The 19,398-nt window shown below is 39.7% G+C and overlaps 1 protein-coding gene across 7 annotated transcripts in view, besides 2 other annotated features; it reads left to right on the plus strand.

Annotated features, from left to right (window-relative positions):
* The window catches only part of PDE4B (phosphodiesterase 4B), a 582,070-nt gene that overhangs the window by 482,972 nt on the left and 79,700 nt on the right, over positions 1-19,398 (plus strand). The gene's annotated exons all lie outside the window — the stretch shown is intronic.
* Positions 6,854-7,153: an enhancer, noted in NCBI's record as "active region_1146". NCBI's record gives its function as "activates an Ori minimal core promoter by ATAC-STARR-seq in GM12878 lymphoblastoid cells {active_cell/tissue: GM12878}" and the evidence as "EXISTENCE:reporter gene assay evidence [ECO:0000049][PMID:35858748]".
* Positions 7,204-7,283: an enhancer, noted in NCBI's record as "active region_1147". NCBI's record gives its function as "activates an Ori minimal core promoter by ATAC-STARR-seq in GM12878 lymphoblastoid cells {active_cell/tissue: GM12878}" and the evidence as "EXISTENCE:reporter gene assay evidence [ECO:0000049][PMID:35858748]".

The following is a 19,398-nucleotide window of genomic DNA, read 5'->3' on the forward strand; positions in this document are numbered from 1 at the left end:
TCATACCCATCTTAACCCATTCTCCTCTCTTTATTGGAAGGGAGGGAGATAAAAAAGGAGGTTGGAGTTAGCCTAGAGAAGAATGAATATGGAAGTTTGCTAAGAGACAAGGAAGGAAGAGGACCACCGAAGTTCCTTTTTCTGCCTCCTGCTTCCCCAAGTGGGTATGATCCTGGGGGCAGGGTGAATTCTGCTTGCTTGCTTCTGATCAACCCCGAGCCAGCACATTATGAAGTTGCCTCCAGAACTGTTCTCGGAAGCCAGGAGCATTTCAGGGAACAGCCTTTCACCCAAGAGGAGGGAAACAAAGCAGGGACTGTCCCCTCAAAATAGAGAACAGGCAACAGAACTCACTGGATCTTTTTCTTGGTTTATTGTCTTGACTTCCTCCCAGTCAGAGCTGTTGACAAGCACCAAAAGCGACCCCTTGGAGTTTTCTGTATTTTTCCTACCCCCTGTCTGGCTGTGTCCACAGAGTAAGCTGGGACCATGGCGATTATCCAGCTTATTTGAATCTTACAGGCAGCCAGGTCAGATAATGCTATTTTCTCTCTGCCCCCTCAGTTGTATTTGGGGCTTCAAATTTCTAGGGTCTAGTCTGGCTAGCACTGCTGGTCTAATAAACTAGATAATGTCCAAAGCCCACATGTGTGCCTCTGATTTCAGGAAAGGTAAGGGGCTAGTGCTTATTCCATTTCTGGTATGTGCCAGGCACAGTGCTAGCCCCTTTGAATATATCACGTCACCTAATTCTCCAAACTAAACTTCTTTGCGTATATTATTGCCCCTATTTCACATATTTGGAAAAAGAAGATTCAGGAAGTATGTGGGGCTCACTCAAGACCACAAAGTTAGTGATAGAATCAGAACTGAAAGCTAGATCTGTATTTCTTGAAAACCCATGCTCTTTCCTCTGCAGTCTAAACCACACTGTCTCTGCCTCCATCCCACTGTAAACCTCAGATGTTATAGCTTATCAAGAAGGGGATGGGGAAAATGTCATAGCAAGAAAGCGAAGTGACTGGACTACCAACAACCTTAATAATTATTACATACTAGAGGACTTTCTTTAATTTCTTTCTCATCTATCCATTTTATTGTAAGTAGTAAGCAAAGGTGTAAGTCTTGAGAGAAATACATCTCACACGTCCATTATTCATTCATTAATGTATTTAATAAACGTGTTAAATTCATACTGTATACAAGGCACTGTGTTAGCCACTGAGGATGCTGTGATGAAGAGAATGTATTCAGACCCTGATCTCATAGATCTTACGGCCCAGGAAATAATGCATAAATAAATTCATGACTATACACTTGATAATTGTAATGAAGGAAAGTACAGAATGCTATGATATTGGCTCACTTTTTCACCTGTAAAAATGGGAATAATACTAGTACTTACCATTAGGGTTGCGGCAATATCTAAATGCGTTATTTTACGTAAAGCATTTAGAACACGCCTGGCACCCAGTAGTATTTAGTGTTTAACTATTATGATCATTAGTTTTATCACTATTTATCATTATCATCATTATCATTAGTCTAGTGTTATTATTGTTATCATTCTGGGGCCTAAAGTAGATTAGAAGATAGGAAAGAACTCTATAAATAAATGACTTTAAACTGGAGTCCTGAACACTGAGTAGCTGGGGTAGATCGAGGGGCGGTGGTCCTGAGAGAGTAACCAACACCTCAGAGATGCCACAGCCAGAGAACTGGGCACTTTGAACAACAGTAAGGGACGCAGCCACAGAGACTGAGAGATGCCAGGTTAAGCAGAACATTTGTAAGTCATGGTAGACATGTAGATTTTACTGCAAATTCAGTTGGGAGCCATTAAAAGATTTTGAGAAACAGATTGACGTGATCTGATATGCATTCTATTTATTTTATTTTATTTTATTATTTATTTATTTATTTTTTGTTTTTGAGACAGAGTCTTGCTCTGTTGTCCAGGCTGGAGTGCAGTGGCACGATCTCAGCTCACCACAACCTCCACCTTGTGGGTTCAACCGATTCTCCTGCCTCAGCCTCCCAAGTAGTTGGGACTACAGGTGTGCGCCACCACGCCAGGCTAATTTTTGTATTTTTAGTAGAGATGGGGTTTCACTATGTTAGCCAGGCTGGTCTTCAACTCCTAACCTCGTGATCTGCGTGCCTCGGCCTCCCAAAGTGCTGGGATTACAGGCATGAGCCACCACGCCCGGCCTTATATGCATTTTAAATACACAACTTCTCTTTGAGCCCCAAGTCTGGGTTAGTGACATCTCATACATGCTCCCAGTACCTGTATTTTCTCTGTAATAATACTCAGCTCCTGCCCCTTCCATGTACCTCCTGGTTAAGAAGACAGGCTCTGCAGCAAGACTGCCTGCACTTAGTTCTAGTTCAATACCTTTCTTTCTCTGTATGATTGTAGAGAAGTAATTCAACATCCCTGGGTCTTGATTTTCTTACATGTTTAATGGGGATAATAATAGAACCTTCTGCATAGAATTGTTTTAAGAGCAAAATTAAAACACTTAGAACAGTGGCTGGCACACATAAAGCACTAAATAAATATTAGTTGTTTTTAATATATTGTAACTGCCTATTTTCTTGACTGTTTATACACTAGACTGTATGCTTAGTTCCTGGCACAAGGCAGGTGTTCAAAAATATTTACTGAAAAAAGAATGAACAAGGAAAGAGAGGTAGTGCAATAAATTGTAACTAAAAGAAGAGAAAGATTGCTGTCCTATTCATGGGAAAATAGGCTTTCTTGAAACTGGGGTATATTCTGATAAGGAGGAGCCTGCTTATGGGGCCAGAGAAACTGAATGACTTTGCAGCTGCCCAGCTGCTACAGCTTTGGGGAACTTGAAATAACATCCGTGGAACAAAAATTTGTTTCAGAATCTGTGATGCCAATCTGGACTGCCATCTGCACAAAAAGAAAACTGGGCTCATGAAAGAGCTTTTTCATTCTCTTGGGCTATGTGACTATCTCTCTGGAAAGCAAATGCAAGGCTAAACCTCCGGAGTTCTCCATTTGCTGCCTTTGGAAGGACAGTCTCACCAAAAGAGCCAGTCATCCTACTAAGAACATAACACTATGACTTCCTTTTCATCCCTGCATTGCTAATAGGGCCTCAAAGGAACAAGGGCTCAGTTCTGTGAAGTAAACACACACCTTTAGTGTAGTGAATAAACACTGGAAGAAGCTTTTCACATATTTGTAAGCTCGGAAGTCTTTTAGGCATTGAGTAGCAGCAGCTCCTTTATTGCTTCATGCAGCTGCACGGGGTACCTGCCCGGACAAACAATGAATCCTTCAGCTCTCTGAATGTTCCAGTTCTGTGCCGTGTGTGTGTGTGTATGTGTGTTTGTGTGTGTGTGTGGTGTGTGCATGCATACGTGCATGTGTGCTGGTTTGTTACTTGTATATCCCAGGGGAAAATAAGGGTTCTTTGCATGCTTTTTGTCAACACAATGGGTCTCTGTTCTCACTGACCTGGTTTTCCTTTATTCCTTCCCTCTCATCACAAGTTTAGGCAGTCTGGCTTTCCTCATCCACAGAGCAAGGCCTTCCCCTGATTTACCCCTCTCTGCATGCTCTTCACACTTCCAAACCATTTTCCATATAGGCCCCTTAAATCTAATTTAAATACTTCCCTCTGGAAAGCCTCAAATGATGAGTCCTGCCTAATTGCTCCCTCCTGTACATGTCCTATGTTGCTTTCTAAAAGCATCATAGCTCTTTATGTCATGGGCATAAGTTCTTCCTTCATTATTTGTCAGGTGTGTGTGCACTCCTTAAGCTAAAATTTTATATTATGGCATCTCACTGAGCCAAGAGGAAGGAGGAGTACTTGTGTGAATAAGACCTAGACTCTGATTGTGAGTTTAAACCGTTTGGAAATAAGAAATAAGATACATTACTTGAGGCCAGGAGTTCAAGACCAGCCTGGCCAACATAGTGAAATCCCGACTCTACTAAAAATACAAAAAATTAGCCAGATGTGGTGGCACACTCCTGTAATCCCAGCTGCTCAGGAGGCTGAGGCAAGAGAATCGCTTGAACTCGGGAAGTGGAGATTGCAGTGAGCCAGGATTGCACCACTGCACTCCAGAGCGAGACTCTGTCTCAAAAAAAAAAAGTAAGATACATCAAGATAGGGACTGTGTCAGTCATGGTCCTCTACAGAAACAGAATCAGCAGTAGGACAATATTCACTTTAAGAATTTGGCTCATGAAATTATAGTGGTTGACAAGCTTGAAATCTATAGAGCAGAAAGTAAATTCAGGCAGTAATTAATGCTGCAGTCTTCAGGCACAATATGTTCTTTTCCAGGAAGCCACAGTTTCTGCTCACAACTGACTGCACAAGGCCCACCAACATCATCGGGGGTAATCTCCTTTACTTTAAGTCTATTGATTGTAGATGTTAACCACATCTACAAAATACCTTTCACAGCCAACACCTAGATCAATATTGATTAAATAACAGGGCACTATAGACTAGCCAAGTCAGCACATACAACTAATTATCAAGGACCCATCAACCAACAACCCCAAACACCTGTCTTTGGAATTAGACTGGAATTATGCCTAGCTCTTCTACAAACAAGATGTATAAAATCCAGGACAATAAAAATTTTTGTATTATTTCTGATTGAGTCTTCACTTCAAAACAAAATAAAATAATCATTCATCCTAGCTCACAGAATTGTTTTGAAAACCAAATGATAGTTCGAAAGACCAGAAGCGCAAGCTATTGGTACTTTGAACACCTTGACAGTGCGCAAGTAGTGGCAGCACACCTGTTAAATATTGGTGGCCACACAAACACATCACCATTCTCTCTACTGAGCAGACATGAGAGAAGAGAAAATCTTGGGCTTTTGCTTTACACGAATGCCAATCAATTTGTGCCTAGTATCTGGAACACACAACTGATTATCTTAAACTCAATGGAGGGAAATATCTTTAAAAGAAGTTAATTTGGACCAGAAATATCTCAGGGGAGGTAGGAGTGAGGTTGGAGCATTCTTTATGTACATTTCCACAGAGTTGAGTATGAAACTTTATTCCCTGTAAAAACAAATTGGAAATTTGAATGTGAATCCAATTTGCCAGGTTATCCTTGAGACGCCCTTCCTTCTCACACCTGGATATTAAAACTTATCTCCATTTCCCTGTGAGTCTTGTATTCCTGTCACTAAAAATTCCTCCAGCCTCTTTGCAGAGCACATTGGCACCAGGCCCCCTTCTAAAGCCACAATGCCGAAGTTCTGATTGCACCTCCGTATTCCTATGTTTCCGGTAAGTCTTTTAAAGACATTTGGCTCCTGCCTCTGGTCTTGAATATTTTAGGCCTATTGAGTTTAGAATCTAGAGAAAATAGCAGATTAAATGTAGCTCAGGAACAAGAGGGTGTTGTCCAGAGAAAGCTGAGAGTGACTGGCACAGCAGACGTAAACATCGTCACCAGGGTGTACATAGCTTTAACTCAGGTACCTGCACGGGCATCACAGGCAGCATGGCACAGATAGTTCACAGGCCTGGGTATCTATGCTTATGGACTGGCCTTCCAAGTGCAGTTTCCTGCTCACTCTTATTTATCTTCTGATAAAGAATTGCTCCCAGCAAATTACTAAACTAAACCTACTGCTGATACTTTTACTCCAGTTGTAAAAACACATTACTCCCTCTGCTTCTGCAGAAGTGGAACATGCTTCTACAATTCCCTTTTCTAAATTTGTTGATGGATTACTTATTGCCCCACTCCTCAAGTTTCTGTGGAGGGGATTCCATCTAATCTTTAACAGGGAACAGTTTTTGGGAAATATTACCTTTTCTCCCTTCTGTGCTGCGAGAGCAGAGGGCAAAGACAAGTAACAGTGAGTGGGAATTATAGGAGAGGTTTTTGCCTCAGTGAGCCTTTTAACCCACTAGAGATCTGGAAGAAAATGGAGTGGGTTTCTCTGGGAGGTGATTTGTTCTGCATTCCCTTGCTAGAAGATCACTTGCCTAGACATATGTAGGAAGTTTAACATGGGTTTTCCTCATTCGGAAGAAGGGTGGATTCAATCACTTCTGAGATTTTTCTTGTGTTAGGAGCATATATGATGGAACTGTGTTTTGGTAAATCAGTTTCAGTTCTACACTGCCCCTAAAGTATTTTGCTTGTTTTCAGAGGTCTGTCCATAAAGCATTTGTTTCAAATACAAGGCATGGGGGAGGAGGTGTTATCACAATATCAAACCCCTGCTAAGTATCAGATTTTCTATTAGGTACTCTGCAAAGGAGATCTGTTTTTATCCTCAACAACCTTCTATTAAGTCAATATCATTATCCCATTTTTTTTAACCAATAAAACTATGCCTCCATGAATGTAACTAGTAGTATAAAGACACTCACTCAGCTTGTAACAGACAGACCTAGGATCGGAACCATAAAGACACTCAGCTAGTAAGCAGTAGAGTTAGGATGTGAACACTGCCTTGTTTGGCTCAGAAGCCTGTGTACTTGGCATGAGCTCTCTGTGCTGTCCAGTAAGTAAAGGTGCATGTGATGCCCACACAGGTACCTGCGTTGAAGGTACGTACACCCTTGAGATGGTGTTTACATCTGTGGTTCCAATCACTCTCAGCTGTCTCTGAACAATACCAACTTGTTCTTCAGCAACATTTAATCTGTTTTTTTTTCCTCCAGATTCTAGAACTAGAGAGAATTTAGAAGAAAATACATTTCAAGCTTTAGTTTTCCCTCATGGGAATAACTGAGCCAATAGGGAGGTGGCAGTGTCTTCCTCTCTTCTAGGAATAAGTCTCCTTCCCTGAAAGACTTTTGGGTTTTGAGTAAGCCATCCTGGCAGGGAAAAGAGGCAGGGGAGAATTTTTAGGACGTAACAGAGCTGTGGGAGACATATCTCCAGTGCATTACTCACTGCTTAAAAGACACCCCCAGCCTCTGACATCACAAGGAGAGAGAATTAGATTTCAGATCAGTAGTGAAACTGAGGTGTGTCTTGCTTGAACACAAGGAGGCAGCCATCCAACTCTAGGCTGGCTCTGGAAAGTCCCATTTTGAATAATTTGCTTCTTATGATGCTTTGTTCAGCTTCCCTACCTTAAGTGAAACTGTGTGACTTAAATGAAAGAGCACTGAGCTGAAACTCAGGAAACCTAAATTTCAGTACTGGCACCAACCAGGTGTGTAACCAGAAGTAAATCCTTTAACCTTTCTAGACTCAGTCATCTTTAGTTTAAATTATTTTGAGTCTTTGAGTCTTAGAATTCAATCTTACTTCAGATTTCTATAATGGCTCCTGGCCCAAAAATAGTGGTGTGTGGGTGTTGACATGGATAATTCTTTGTCACGGAGGAAACAGCCCCTCAGTAAGAATCTGGAATTCAAGCCTAGGTCTCTTTGGTCTAACTCCAAAACCTAGGCTTCTTCCACCTCTCCTACCCTGACAAGAGGCCATACTATTGTTTCATAACAAAGTGTATCTTTATTATTTTTATAATCCCTGTTAGCCTTGTCATTGGCACAGTTCATTAGCAAACATTCATTGAGTGCTTATGAGTGCTGGGAAAATAAAAAGGAAGGGGACATGGTGCCTGACCTAAGCTTAAAAGCATTTTCATAAGGAGATTCTGGAGCCACACTGCCTGGATTTAGATCCCAGTTCTACTATTTTTAGACTAATCATTTCTTAAACTTTCTGCATACCTCAGTTGCTTCATCCTCATTTTCTTCATCTTTAAAATTTTCCTCTTAGAGTTGTTTTAAGGATTAAATTTGTTGCTTCTGTAAAACATTTAAAATAGTGCCAATTATAGAGGAAAGACCAAATACATCATTGCCGTTATTGTTACTATTATATATATATGTGTATATATGTATATATATATGTATATATGTATGTCAGTCCCCTTGTGTCAGGAGTCTTAGAAGGTTGCAACTGGGTCTTGTTTGCTGGCACTTAATAAATGTTTGTTGGATCCAATTATTCAACACATATTTACAATGTTTCTACTATGCGCAAAGCCCTCTGATGGATCCTTGGTAGAATCCAGAATTTTTACAACTTTTTAAAAAATTACCATGTTTTAGAGCTTGCGTAAGTATAATTTGGAATTTTTTTTCTCTTTCAATATTTCTCTTCTTTCTTTTTCTGTGGCCCTTGTATAGAAAGTATTGAGGAACTGAGAGGAAGATATCTCACACATATGCTTGCTAACTTAATCATATGAGCCATCCTGGAGGAGGTGGGGTTAACAACACACCAAAAAGAAGATTCTTCTCTTTCTTAAATGATAAATGTCTTTTAGAACTCTGATGTCAGACAAGAGAGTACTGCTTACTTTTAATGGGTTTTCTGTGTCAGAGAGAGAGAAGGGAGAGAGAGCGAGAGAAAGAGAGAGAGAGAGATTCATTCACCACTTTCTCATTGACTCATTCATTCACCCTAAAAGCACCTGGCGAGTACTCACCACAACATGAATCAGGCATTATGCCTGGGTAATGCTGGATAATGGAGATACAGAAATGAATAAAACATGGTTTCTTCTTTGGGAGAGTTAACAGTCGTGGGGCAGACAAACATAACTTGATTTATAACGCAGTGTAATAAGAATTTTTCAGAAGCATGAATAAAGTGCTCTGGAAGGACACAGGAAGGCAGGTAGTTGGGAGCAAGATCCTATCCTAAGTACAAATAACACTCTGTACTGAGCTGTACCTAGGAAATTTATAAATTGGATTTTATTAAATTTTAAAAATTAGTATTTCCCATAGCTCGGTCATTCATTATACGCCAAGTGTTCAGCCATTTCAGCTCAAGTTAGCATATTCTTTGAGCACCTATTATAACCAAGTGGATTAGGAGACTACATATTAATTCTGACCATGACTAGGACAAGGAAGGTATAAGATATATGATTTGAACTCTGCCTTAAAGAATAGATAGTATTTCATAAGGCAAAGTGAGAAATAGTTTTTAAGAGGGCAGACCATGCTCAAACAAATGGAGGCCAGCCAGGTGCAGTGGTGCATACCTGTAGTTCGATCTACTCAGGAGGCTGAGGCAGGAGGATTGCTTGAGCCCAGGAGTTTGAAGCTGTAGTGCACCAAGATCATTGCAGTGAATAACCACTTCACTCCTACTGGGCAACAAAACAAGACCCCATCTCAAAAAAATAAAGTATGCAGATGAAAAAGTATAGGTTTAATTGCTTAGTTATTGGAATGAAAGTCACCCTAGGGGATTAGTGAAGAAAGGATAGGGTGTAGGGATATGCAGGACATTAGACAGGAAAGATGGCTGGGCAAAGAAAAAAGGGCTTTGCATACCTTCCAAGATTTTATTTTGTGTGCAGCGAGGAGCCACTGATATTTGTTCATCAGGGAAATACATTATCAAAGCAGTGCTTCTTGGGATGGTTAATGTGGTTTTGGCTACAGTGACAGGAAGCAGATTCAGGCTTGGAATCAGAAAACATAACAGAGATTGATGAATTGGGATTACTTGTGTGATCTTGAGCAAGTTCATAATCATTTCTGAGCTTTAGCCTCCTCATCTATATAGCAAGCAAGATGAAATTACGACAAGAGCAACAATCACAACAACAATGTTTATTGATCATTACTCTCTGAATAGCATGGTGGTAGGGCATTTCCTTGTAATGTTTAAGCCTCAAAACAACTCTGTGAGTTCTTAAAAAGGTAAACGTAAATTTACCCATATGACCCACCAATTCCACTCTTAGATATCTACACAACACAAATTGAAGACGTATAGTCTTTCAATATATGTTCCACAAAGTCGAACACAAATGTTATTAGCAGCATTATTTATTTGTTTTTAACTTTTGATTTTTAAAAATATATTTAGGGGGTACAAGTGCAGGCTTCTTACATGAATATATTGCATAGTGATGAAGTCTGTGGGCCTTTATTGTATCCATCACCCAAATAGTGAACATTGTACCCATTAAGAAATTTTCAACTCTCACACCCCCTTACCCTTCCACCTTTTGTAGTCTCCAACAGCCATTATTTCACTCTATATGTCCATGTGTCCACTGTTTAACTCCCACTTATAAGTGAAAACATGCAGTATTTGATTTTCTGTTTCTGAGTTAATTCACTGAGGCTAGTGGCCTCCAGTTCCACTCATGTTGCTGTGAAAGATACCATTTCATTATTTTTATGGCTGAGTAGTATTCCATGGTATATATATCTTAGCTGATCCTGACTCAAGCAGCAGTTGCCCAGACGGATTAGAGGAGTGACAGGAACCAAGAAAAGAGCTGTACAATGCTGCAGGCAGGAAGTAACAAGAGCTTACCAAAGGCACTGTCAGGAAGAAAGAACCAAAGGTGTTGACAATGAAGCCAAACTAGGGTAAGGCTCCTAATTGTACCATATTTTAACTTCTCTAAACAATCATTTAGGATGCTTGATTCTATGAACAAGAGAAGACAAAGAATAGAGGACTTCCTTTCCTTCAGCAAACAGCTGACACACTTTCCCATCATAAACTTCGTAATTCAGGATGTAAAACCAGATCCAACAACCAAACCCAGCTAGAAGGTTAAATAAATAAGTGCTAAATAAATAAACATGATTTTTCTTTTCCTTGGCCCATGAGTCTCCATAGAAGATGCCATGTGCTTCTGGTAATTGAAGTCTACTAGTCAATTTTCCTTTCTTTGTAAAATTGGGGGAATGGCCTACTCAGGGTTATAAACTGAAACTTTGAGGAGTTGGAACTTTTTGTATGTTTTGTTTTACATTTTCTCGTCATGAGCCCCATCATTAATACTAATTATGAATCACAGGTGAGGGAGTGCACCTAACATTTCATCTTTTATTTTGAAATGCTATTAAAACTCAAAAGGCAGAAACATAGCCTGTGGCCTTGGCAGATGCAGGACTAGGTGATTTAATGGGGTTTTTCCTGCATTACTTTCTATGACTGATATTTTGTGGTGCAGATGTGACTGCCACATTGTGAAACATTATTATTAATAAATCCACATTCCCCAAAACAAACAAGACAGCATGGCAAACAGTGGTGTTTGCTCTGTATACATTTGGGTTGGTTTTTCATCATTTCCTAGGACCAAGGCCCTGCTGCTTCCCATCACATTGGTGAAAAATGTGAGAATTCACAGTTTGCCTATTTTGGCAACATAAACATGGGAAAACTTGTGGTCACAGGGTCAGGACTCTTCGTTCTGGAGGGCCTGGTAGCAAGTGGATGGGGTCGTGAGGGAGCTTCCTTAGGGAGGACAATATTGAATCTAGAAGTTCACAAGACTTAGCCCATGTAATAAAGAGAATATTCTGAATACCCTTTAATATTCAGTCTTTCAGTCACTGTCCCCAAAGAGCCAAGAAAAGCTAATGTATGCCCCCCCATGGTAATTAATGTTCAAGCTTGAAGAAACTTGAAGAAATCTTAAACGTAGCAACACTAACTGCCAGGTTTGTTAGCTGTTATAAGAATTCAGCCAGTCACAACACATTCAAAATGCCATTATTAGACACTGACTATGTGTGTAGCAGGGTTCTAAATTACAGTCCCAGTCCTCAGAGGGATTATAGTGAATGCAGGTGGGGATAATATTTAAATGTGACACATTTACATATTAACTAACAATTAAAGTGGATGGTGGTTTTCTTCTCAGTGAAGACTTTCAGAGCTGTCCTGCCCCCACAACTGGCGAGTGGAGCCTCCATCTTCGAATCCAAACAATTCGATCTCACTCTATTAGAGATAATAGAAAGGTCATGAGTTTTGACATCAGAAACTCACAAGTCTTAATCACACATTGCCTGTGTATTAGGTGGATTGTAAACTCCCTGAGGGCAAAGTCTGTTTAAACACTGCGTATCTCAGAACCCAGCACAGTGCCCAACATTTAGTAGGCACTCCACAAATATTTGATGTTGAACACATAAAATTAGCTGTAATCCTAGCAAAGTTAACTTCTGAGTCCAGCGTTCCTCTTGGTGAAACAGGAGGAATCACACCTGCTTTAAAGGAGCTGAGAGGTTGACTAGAACGGAGGGTGAGGAGGAAGACTCCAGACTTTCCTTGCCTGGGCCCAAATTCTGGCCTGGCAATCATTAGCTCTGTGATTTTGAGCAAATAACTTGTCTTTGCCTCTGTTTCCCACACCAGCAAATAAGGACAATAATATCGCCTACGTTTTAGGCTAGGCATAGTGGCTCATGGATTTTTGGAGGCTGAGGTGGGAGGATTTCTTGAGGCCAGGAGTTTGAGAGCAGCCTGGGCAACATAACAAGACCTTATACCTACAAAACAAAACTTTATAAAAGTAGCTGAGCATGGTGGTGTGTACTTGTAAGTCCTAGCTACTTGGGAGGCTGAGGCAGGAGGATGACTTGAGTCCAGGAGTTGGAGATGGCAGTGAGCTATGATTGTGCCACTGCACTCCAGCCTGGGTGACAGAGTAAGACCCTGTCTCTAAAAAAACAAAACAAAAAACTGTATTAGCCCATTATTGCATTGCCGTAAAGAAATACCAAAGGTTAGGTAATTTATAAAGAAAAGAGGTTTCGTTGACTCACAGTTCTGTATGATGGCCTACAGGAAGCATAATAATGTCATCTGCTTGGCTTCTGGGGATACCTGAGGAAACTTAACAGTCATGGCAGAAGGTGAAGGGGAAGCAGGCATGACACACAGCCAGAGCAGGGGCAAGAGAGAGAGGGCAAGGTGCCACACTTTTAAATAGCCAGATCTTATGAGAAATCACTCACTACCGCAAACACACCACCAAGGGAATGGTGCTAAACCATTGATGAGAAAACCAACCACATGATTCAGTCACTTTCAACCAGGCCCCACCTCCAACACTGAGGATTACATTCCAACCTGAGAGTTAGGTGGGACATCCAAACCATATCACAAACCTACTTTTTCAGTTTGTTATGAGGATTAAATGAATATTTGTATAGTTCTTAGACTAGGGCCTGGTACATAGTGTGTTCTATGAAAATAGTTTTAAAATGCCTTATATAGCCTGCTACAAATGACGCTGAATAAATGTTAAAGAACGTGAAGTTTGACCCCCATTTCCTAAACTAGCGCCTGGCTTACTATAAATACACAGAATGGAATATAATTATTAATTGGGTGTTACAGGTTTTCTGAAGCTCAAGCTAGAAATATGGGTTTGTGGGCTAGAAATATGGGGAAGAGCTTCATCAAGGACAAGGAACAAAATTGTACCTTAGTGGAATTAAATGGCAGTGATAAGGAGTTCACAGAGAAGGCATATAATCTGCAAAAGCTGGAGGAAAGAAGGATCAGGTCACAGTCACAAGATGCTCCACCATCAGCAGGACTTGGCACCAGTTTCTGGGAGAATAATTTGTCATGATCCAGCTTTTTAAGTGAGCTTGACCAAAGCTCTGCTTTAGTTCTGTGGTTTCAACTGCACAGATTAATACTTTGATGGCTGCTTGTTTATTCATTTATTTATTGAGGAAGTATTTATGTAGATTCTACTATGTGCCAGACATTTTGCTAGGCAGTGGTGAATAAAATAGAAATGGAAGACTGGGCAACATATACCTGGGTCTACAAAACAATAAAAATAAAAATAAAATAGCCAGGGGCAGTGACACATGCCTGTGATCTCAGCCTCTCAGGAGGCTGAGGCAGGAGGATCCCTTGAGCCCAGTAGTTAGAGGCTACAATGAGCCATGATGGTGTCTCTGCTTTCCAACCTGAGTGACAGAGCAAGACCTGTCTCAAGAAAGAAAAAAAGAAAAGAAATGGACTTCCTCTCTTTTGGACCAGGAGGGAGAGACAGACTATAAACAGGAAAATAAATAGATTTTGATAAGTGCTTCAAAGGATATTAAAAGGGCACGGTATTGCTCAGATGGAAAAATGGGAAAAGGTCTGTCCAAGGAGGTGATATTTCTATGGAATCTAGAAAGATAAGAAGGAAAAAGGAGACTATTCCAGGATGGGAAACATAATATTCAAAGGTCTTGAGAAAGGTATATTTGAGAAAGAAGGCCGGTGTGGCTGGAACAGAGTGAGCTAGGAGTGAGTGGTGAAAAATGGGGTTGGTGGCATATAGACAGGGCCAGGTCTCGCAGGATCTTGTAGGTGGTGGTAAGCTATTTGGATTATATTAAAGCAAATTGGGCAGCCACTGAAAAAAATGGAGAAGAGAAAATGTTATATATATATATATATATTTTTAAAAATGTAACTCAGATTTCAATGTGTAATAAATTGGATTGGAAAGAGAGGATATGAGGGGAATGTTGAAGAAGTCTGAGCAAGAGGTGATGCTTGCCTAATCAAGAATGGTAGCAGGAGGAAGTGAGGGAAGTGGACCGATGTGTAATATATTCTGTAGGTGAAATAGATAAGATGATGCTGATAAATTAGATGGGGAGGGACTGAAAGTAGAAATAGTAAGGGAGAGAAAAGATTCAAGAATGAAATCCAGGCTTCTGGCTTGAACCACTGAGTGAGTATTAATGCCAATGACTAAGTTGAAAATGTTAAAAGAGGGAACATTGAAAGGTGGATTGAGGAAAAACTCAGGAGTTTGGTTTTAGATGTTAATTTTCAGTGATCTGATGTAGCCAAGAAGAGATATCAACACAGCAGAGAAAAGATTAGGCAGAGAGATAAGTTTTAAGAGTTGCACAGATCTAGAAGGGGTGAAGGGCAGTGGGACCCAGAAAGCAGGTTGAGGTGTTGGCCTTTGTTAACAGCAGGGACACCTGGTGAAAGAAGAAGAAGGGAAGATGTGGGTGTAAGTGGAGGTGATAATCATCATCACCATAGCTTATATTTATTGATGTGTACCAGGTAATGTTCTAAGTAAGTTTCATTTATTAACTCAATCCTCTTAGTAACCTTATGAGTAGGTTTGTACGTACACTGTATCAAAACTGAGAGAGTCTCATCTGATGGTCTACATTGTGGAAGGGGAGTCAAGAGGGACATTTGAGGAGAGAAGCTAGGACACAGTTGGGATAGAAAGTATTCAGTGGAACTTCCAGGCAAGACTGAGAGTTCCTCTGAGATTTTAAATTATGAATATAAAGTGAATCTAACCCAAAATGCAAATGGATTTTCCACAGCATTCAGCAATCAGACTTCAGTGGCCTGACTTAATTGGTGCTTCATGTGGAAGCAGGGATAATTTCCAATGCCAGGAGTAATAATCAAGTACACTATTATCCCTTACTAGTATGCTAGCACTTTATGTACTTTCATGAAGCTGCCTTGGGGACTTGGCCACAAGAAACCTTCCACCCACCAGGCTACCCCTCAATCCCTGCTCAGAAGCAGAAACCATGGCTCCATGAAAGAATAATATCTAGAGTGAACTACAACCACTCATCAGAAGGATGAAGAAATTGATGGCTGACTTTAAGCCTCAATTCTGGAAGAGGTCCAAACTGGATGCTTTGTCTTCTACCTCACAGCTTTCCAGGTTCCTCTCAGTGACCAGGGTACCTCCTCTACCTAAGAAATCACCATCAGCTCTCCCCACTGCCAAGAGCTCATAAATGAAGAAGGGATGCAAAATCTTTACTTGACACAGAAAGCTTTAGGTTGACAACAAATAGCAATAGCTAACATTTACTGAGCATGTCTTTTATATCAGGCTGTGGGCTAAGTGCTTTTATATGTAGTATTTCCCTTCATCTTTAAAACAAACCAGTGAGATAGGAATCCTTATGATCTCATACTACAGATAAGAAAAGTGAGCTTTAGGGAGGTTAAATAATTTTTCTCAGACCAAGAAGCTAACAAGCAGAGCAGCCAAGAGTGGAATCCAGGCAGTCTGACTCTAGATACTAGGCTCTTTTAACAAGTACAGTATAATGGCAAATCAGCCAACATCTCTGCTGGATCAAGCTGTTGTATATATCCATTTGTTGTCACATGTTGTCACCTTTCTATAGATGTTACTTAGAAAACAAATGGATTTTATTTCCAACTATATTTAGACCGGTTTCTACTCTCCCATGTTCTCAAAATGAGACACTAATTGTGGGGGAATTATGGAATTAATAGATTTTATTATTTCCCTCTTTTGAAAGCAAACATCCTGTTACAGAGTCAAGTTTATGGTTTGTTGGTTTTTTGCAAGCCTGGTGACCTATGTTAAGAGAATTTCCCCTGAAGTCAAATGTGCTGACACATGTGACAGCATAAGCTGCACTCCATGGGCTCCAAGGACTGGCAATAATGACCTGTTTTTTTTTCCCACCATGTAATTATGAATTGAGATTTGACTTTTAAAACAAATTCCCAGATAATTGAGGTCAATATGAAAATTTTAGTTTCAATATCCGAGTATCTTAACTGTGTAGATTATTTGTGAGTATACTGATAATAAGCTCCTTATGTTGTCCTACTTTTAGGTGGTTGTAGCCTGTGAATTGTTTTTTTCATAAATGAGGGATATATGGATTTGCATGGAGCCATTCACGCATTCTGCACATAATTAGAGCCAAATGGTACTCATTAAGATTGAACATGAGATGTTAATTTCCATTAGCGCCTGGGGAATCTGCATTTTTAAATAAAGCCCCAGATGATTCTTGTATAAATCGAAGTTTAAGAAACATTGAATAGATGTGCTCTAATTGTTTGATTTATTTTCTCTTCTTTTCCTATTAAGGATAAGAAAAATTAAATGACCTTTAACAGGCTTGACTATCACTACAATAGTAATAATAGCCAATAGTTGGTGAATGTTTATCTTTGCTGAATAGTGTTTTATATATCTATTTCATATGTAACACATTCTTAGGCAGAGATTATCATTAGCCCCATTTTGAAGATAAAAAACAATGAGATGGAGAGAGTCTAAGCAACCCAAGATCTCATAGCTACTGAGTGGCAAAGCGAGGGTTTAGAATTATACTTTTGCCTTTGAAGGCCAAGTCATTATCTGGAGACAGATAACAATGGATATAAATCACAGCTTTGCTACTTACCAGCTTGAAAGATGAGTTTAATAATACTGACTTTGCATGGTTATTGTAAAAATGACAGAATAATGCATATAAAGCACCAAGTATATGCCTGCCAAGTAGTAGATACTCATTAAATGGTGGCTATTAAATGTCAGCTGGAAAGTTGAACAGGTATTCCATGATTTTGATCACTGTAATCAGTGAACACACGTAATCCAAATACCTGCCTACATATCGTACACTGTTCTTATTGTTTTAACTCTCCAAATTATTTACATAATTATCTCTACCTCCTCCTTCCCACTATCTCTTTAGATATGATCTGTGCCTAAGACTCCCTAAGACACTAATTCTACATGATTTGAAAAGTAACATAAATACTTCTATTGTTTTTCTATCCTAAGGAAGTTTGAATGAATTTAAGATATTTTCCAATGACTTTAGTACGAATGTTTGCAAAGGGCCAGAGCTCCCTGGAAGTAAGTTGAAAAACAAACCCAGCTGTAATAGCCTGGTGACCCAGCAGCCCAGACCTGCCATTATAACCCATTTGGGGATTGCATGGTAATTGGGTCCATGGCATTTGGCTTAGTGGTTCTGATTGTGACACATGATGATTCAAGTTTATTCATGGACACACTAAAGCATCACAAAATGACCTTTTTTGAGGTCCTTGAGGTCAGGCGGGGAGGGAGGGAGAAGCACTGGGGCACTCTAAACAAAGCAGCTTTGTTTTTACACCGCTTGCTTGGACAAGTGTCTCCTCACGTGCAGCAGTCATTTGCTGTGGAGCTCTTGGCAGAGTAACTAAAATGTGACAGAAATGAAGGGCAAATTCTGAAATCCCCTGGAAAATCACCCTCCCAAGCAAATATTTGCCGTGGTATTGTAGCTCGATGACTTATTTTTTGTCATTCACTTTTTTTGGCTCATTCCTTTCCTTTATGGCCATTTAAAAGGTGGGTAAACTGAATATTTATTGAGCATCTACTATGTGCATTGCATGTACCGTACTGAGTTTATGGAAGATAGAGTCTGAGCTGAAATCATTTACCATCTCTAGAATTCATCCTCCGTGTCTGCAAAATGGGGATTTGGGCTTCATCAGTGATTCCCAAGTTAGTTTATAGTTTATTAAACCATATTCAGCAAGTGATTCCCAAGTTAGTTACATAGTTTATTAAAGCATATTCAACATTGCATCTTCTATTTAAAACACACACACAAAATCTTCAGAAAAATCTTTAGAAACCAAGAAAATAAACTTTAACAAAATCTTCTCAGCCAATAGACATACAAAAAGCATAGAATCTCAACAAAAGGGCCACCTGAATCTGCATAAAGGCTAGGTATGTGATTTTGTTGTTGTTGTTCTCAACCATATAAAACTGGTTGAGAACTCCAGATCAGATAATCTCTAAGATTTATCTCAGGTTCAAAAAGCTCTGTGGCCGGACATGGTGGCTCATGCCTGTAATCCCAGCACTTTGGGAGGCCAAGCTGGGCAAGTCCCCTGAAATCAGGAGTTCCTGACCAGCCTGGCCAACATGGTGAAACCTCATCTCTACTAAAAATACAAAAATTAGCCAGGTGTGGTGGCAGGTGCCTGTAATCCCAGCTACTCAGGAGGCTGAGGCAGGAGAATCACTTGAACCCAGGAGGCGGTGGTTGCAGTGAGCCAAGATTGCACCATTGCACTCCACCCTGGGTGACACAGCAATACTCCGTCTCAATTAAAATTAAAAAAAAAAATCTGTGATTTTATTTGGGCTTCTCTCAACAAAGTTGGTGTTTTTGTAGCTCAGAGAAGATATATCTAGCATTAGAGAAGGATAAATCATTATGGCTTAAGAGATAATCAGTCATTTCTAATATCAACTTCTGATTGTTTATTCATGGACATATGTATGTGCTGACCCACAAAACACAATTTTCTAATTGATTCTACTGATATTGGCCATCAAATCTAATTAATTTAGACCCAAAGTGAATTTTTTTGGTTTTCTAAAGTCAGTCTTCACTATCTTCGTAGCCCAAATTAGCCAAATAATTTAGGTAAGAAGTATTTATTCTACCATTTCTATCAGGTTTCTCTCTGATGCCTGTGCTTTGCAAACAGGTCAGTAAAAGAGATAAAAGAAATAAGCAATAAATCTTAAGTTTTTTTCTTGTCTATCTGTATTTTATCTGTATTTTTTTGTTATATTAGCTATTTTTTTTATTAATTCAGTATGTTCCAGCAAAAGAGGAGAAAAAAACACACAGTAAAGGGAAAATCAAAGAGGAGAGACACGGTTAAGAGACTGACTACATTAAAAGAGAAAGGGGAGGAATGAAATCCAAAAAGAATTTTCAGGGAAAATCTCTCAGTAAAAGAAAAAAAGAGAAAGATATTGCATAGGATG

This window comes from Homo sapiens, chromosome 1, assembly GCF_000001405.40.
Source record: "Homo sapiens chromosome 1, GRCh38.p14 Primary Assembly".
In the NCBI taxonomy this organism is placed as follows: domain Eukaryota; kingdom Metazoa; phylum Chordata; class Mammalia; order Primates; family Hominidae; genus Homo; species Homo sapiens.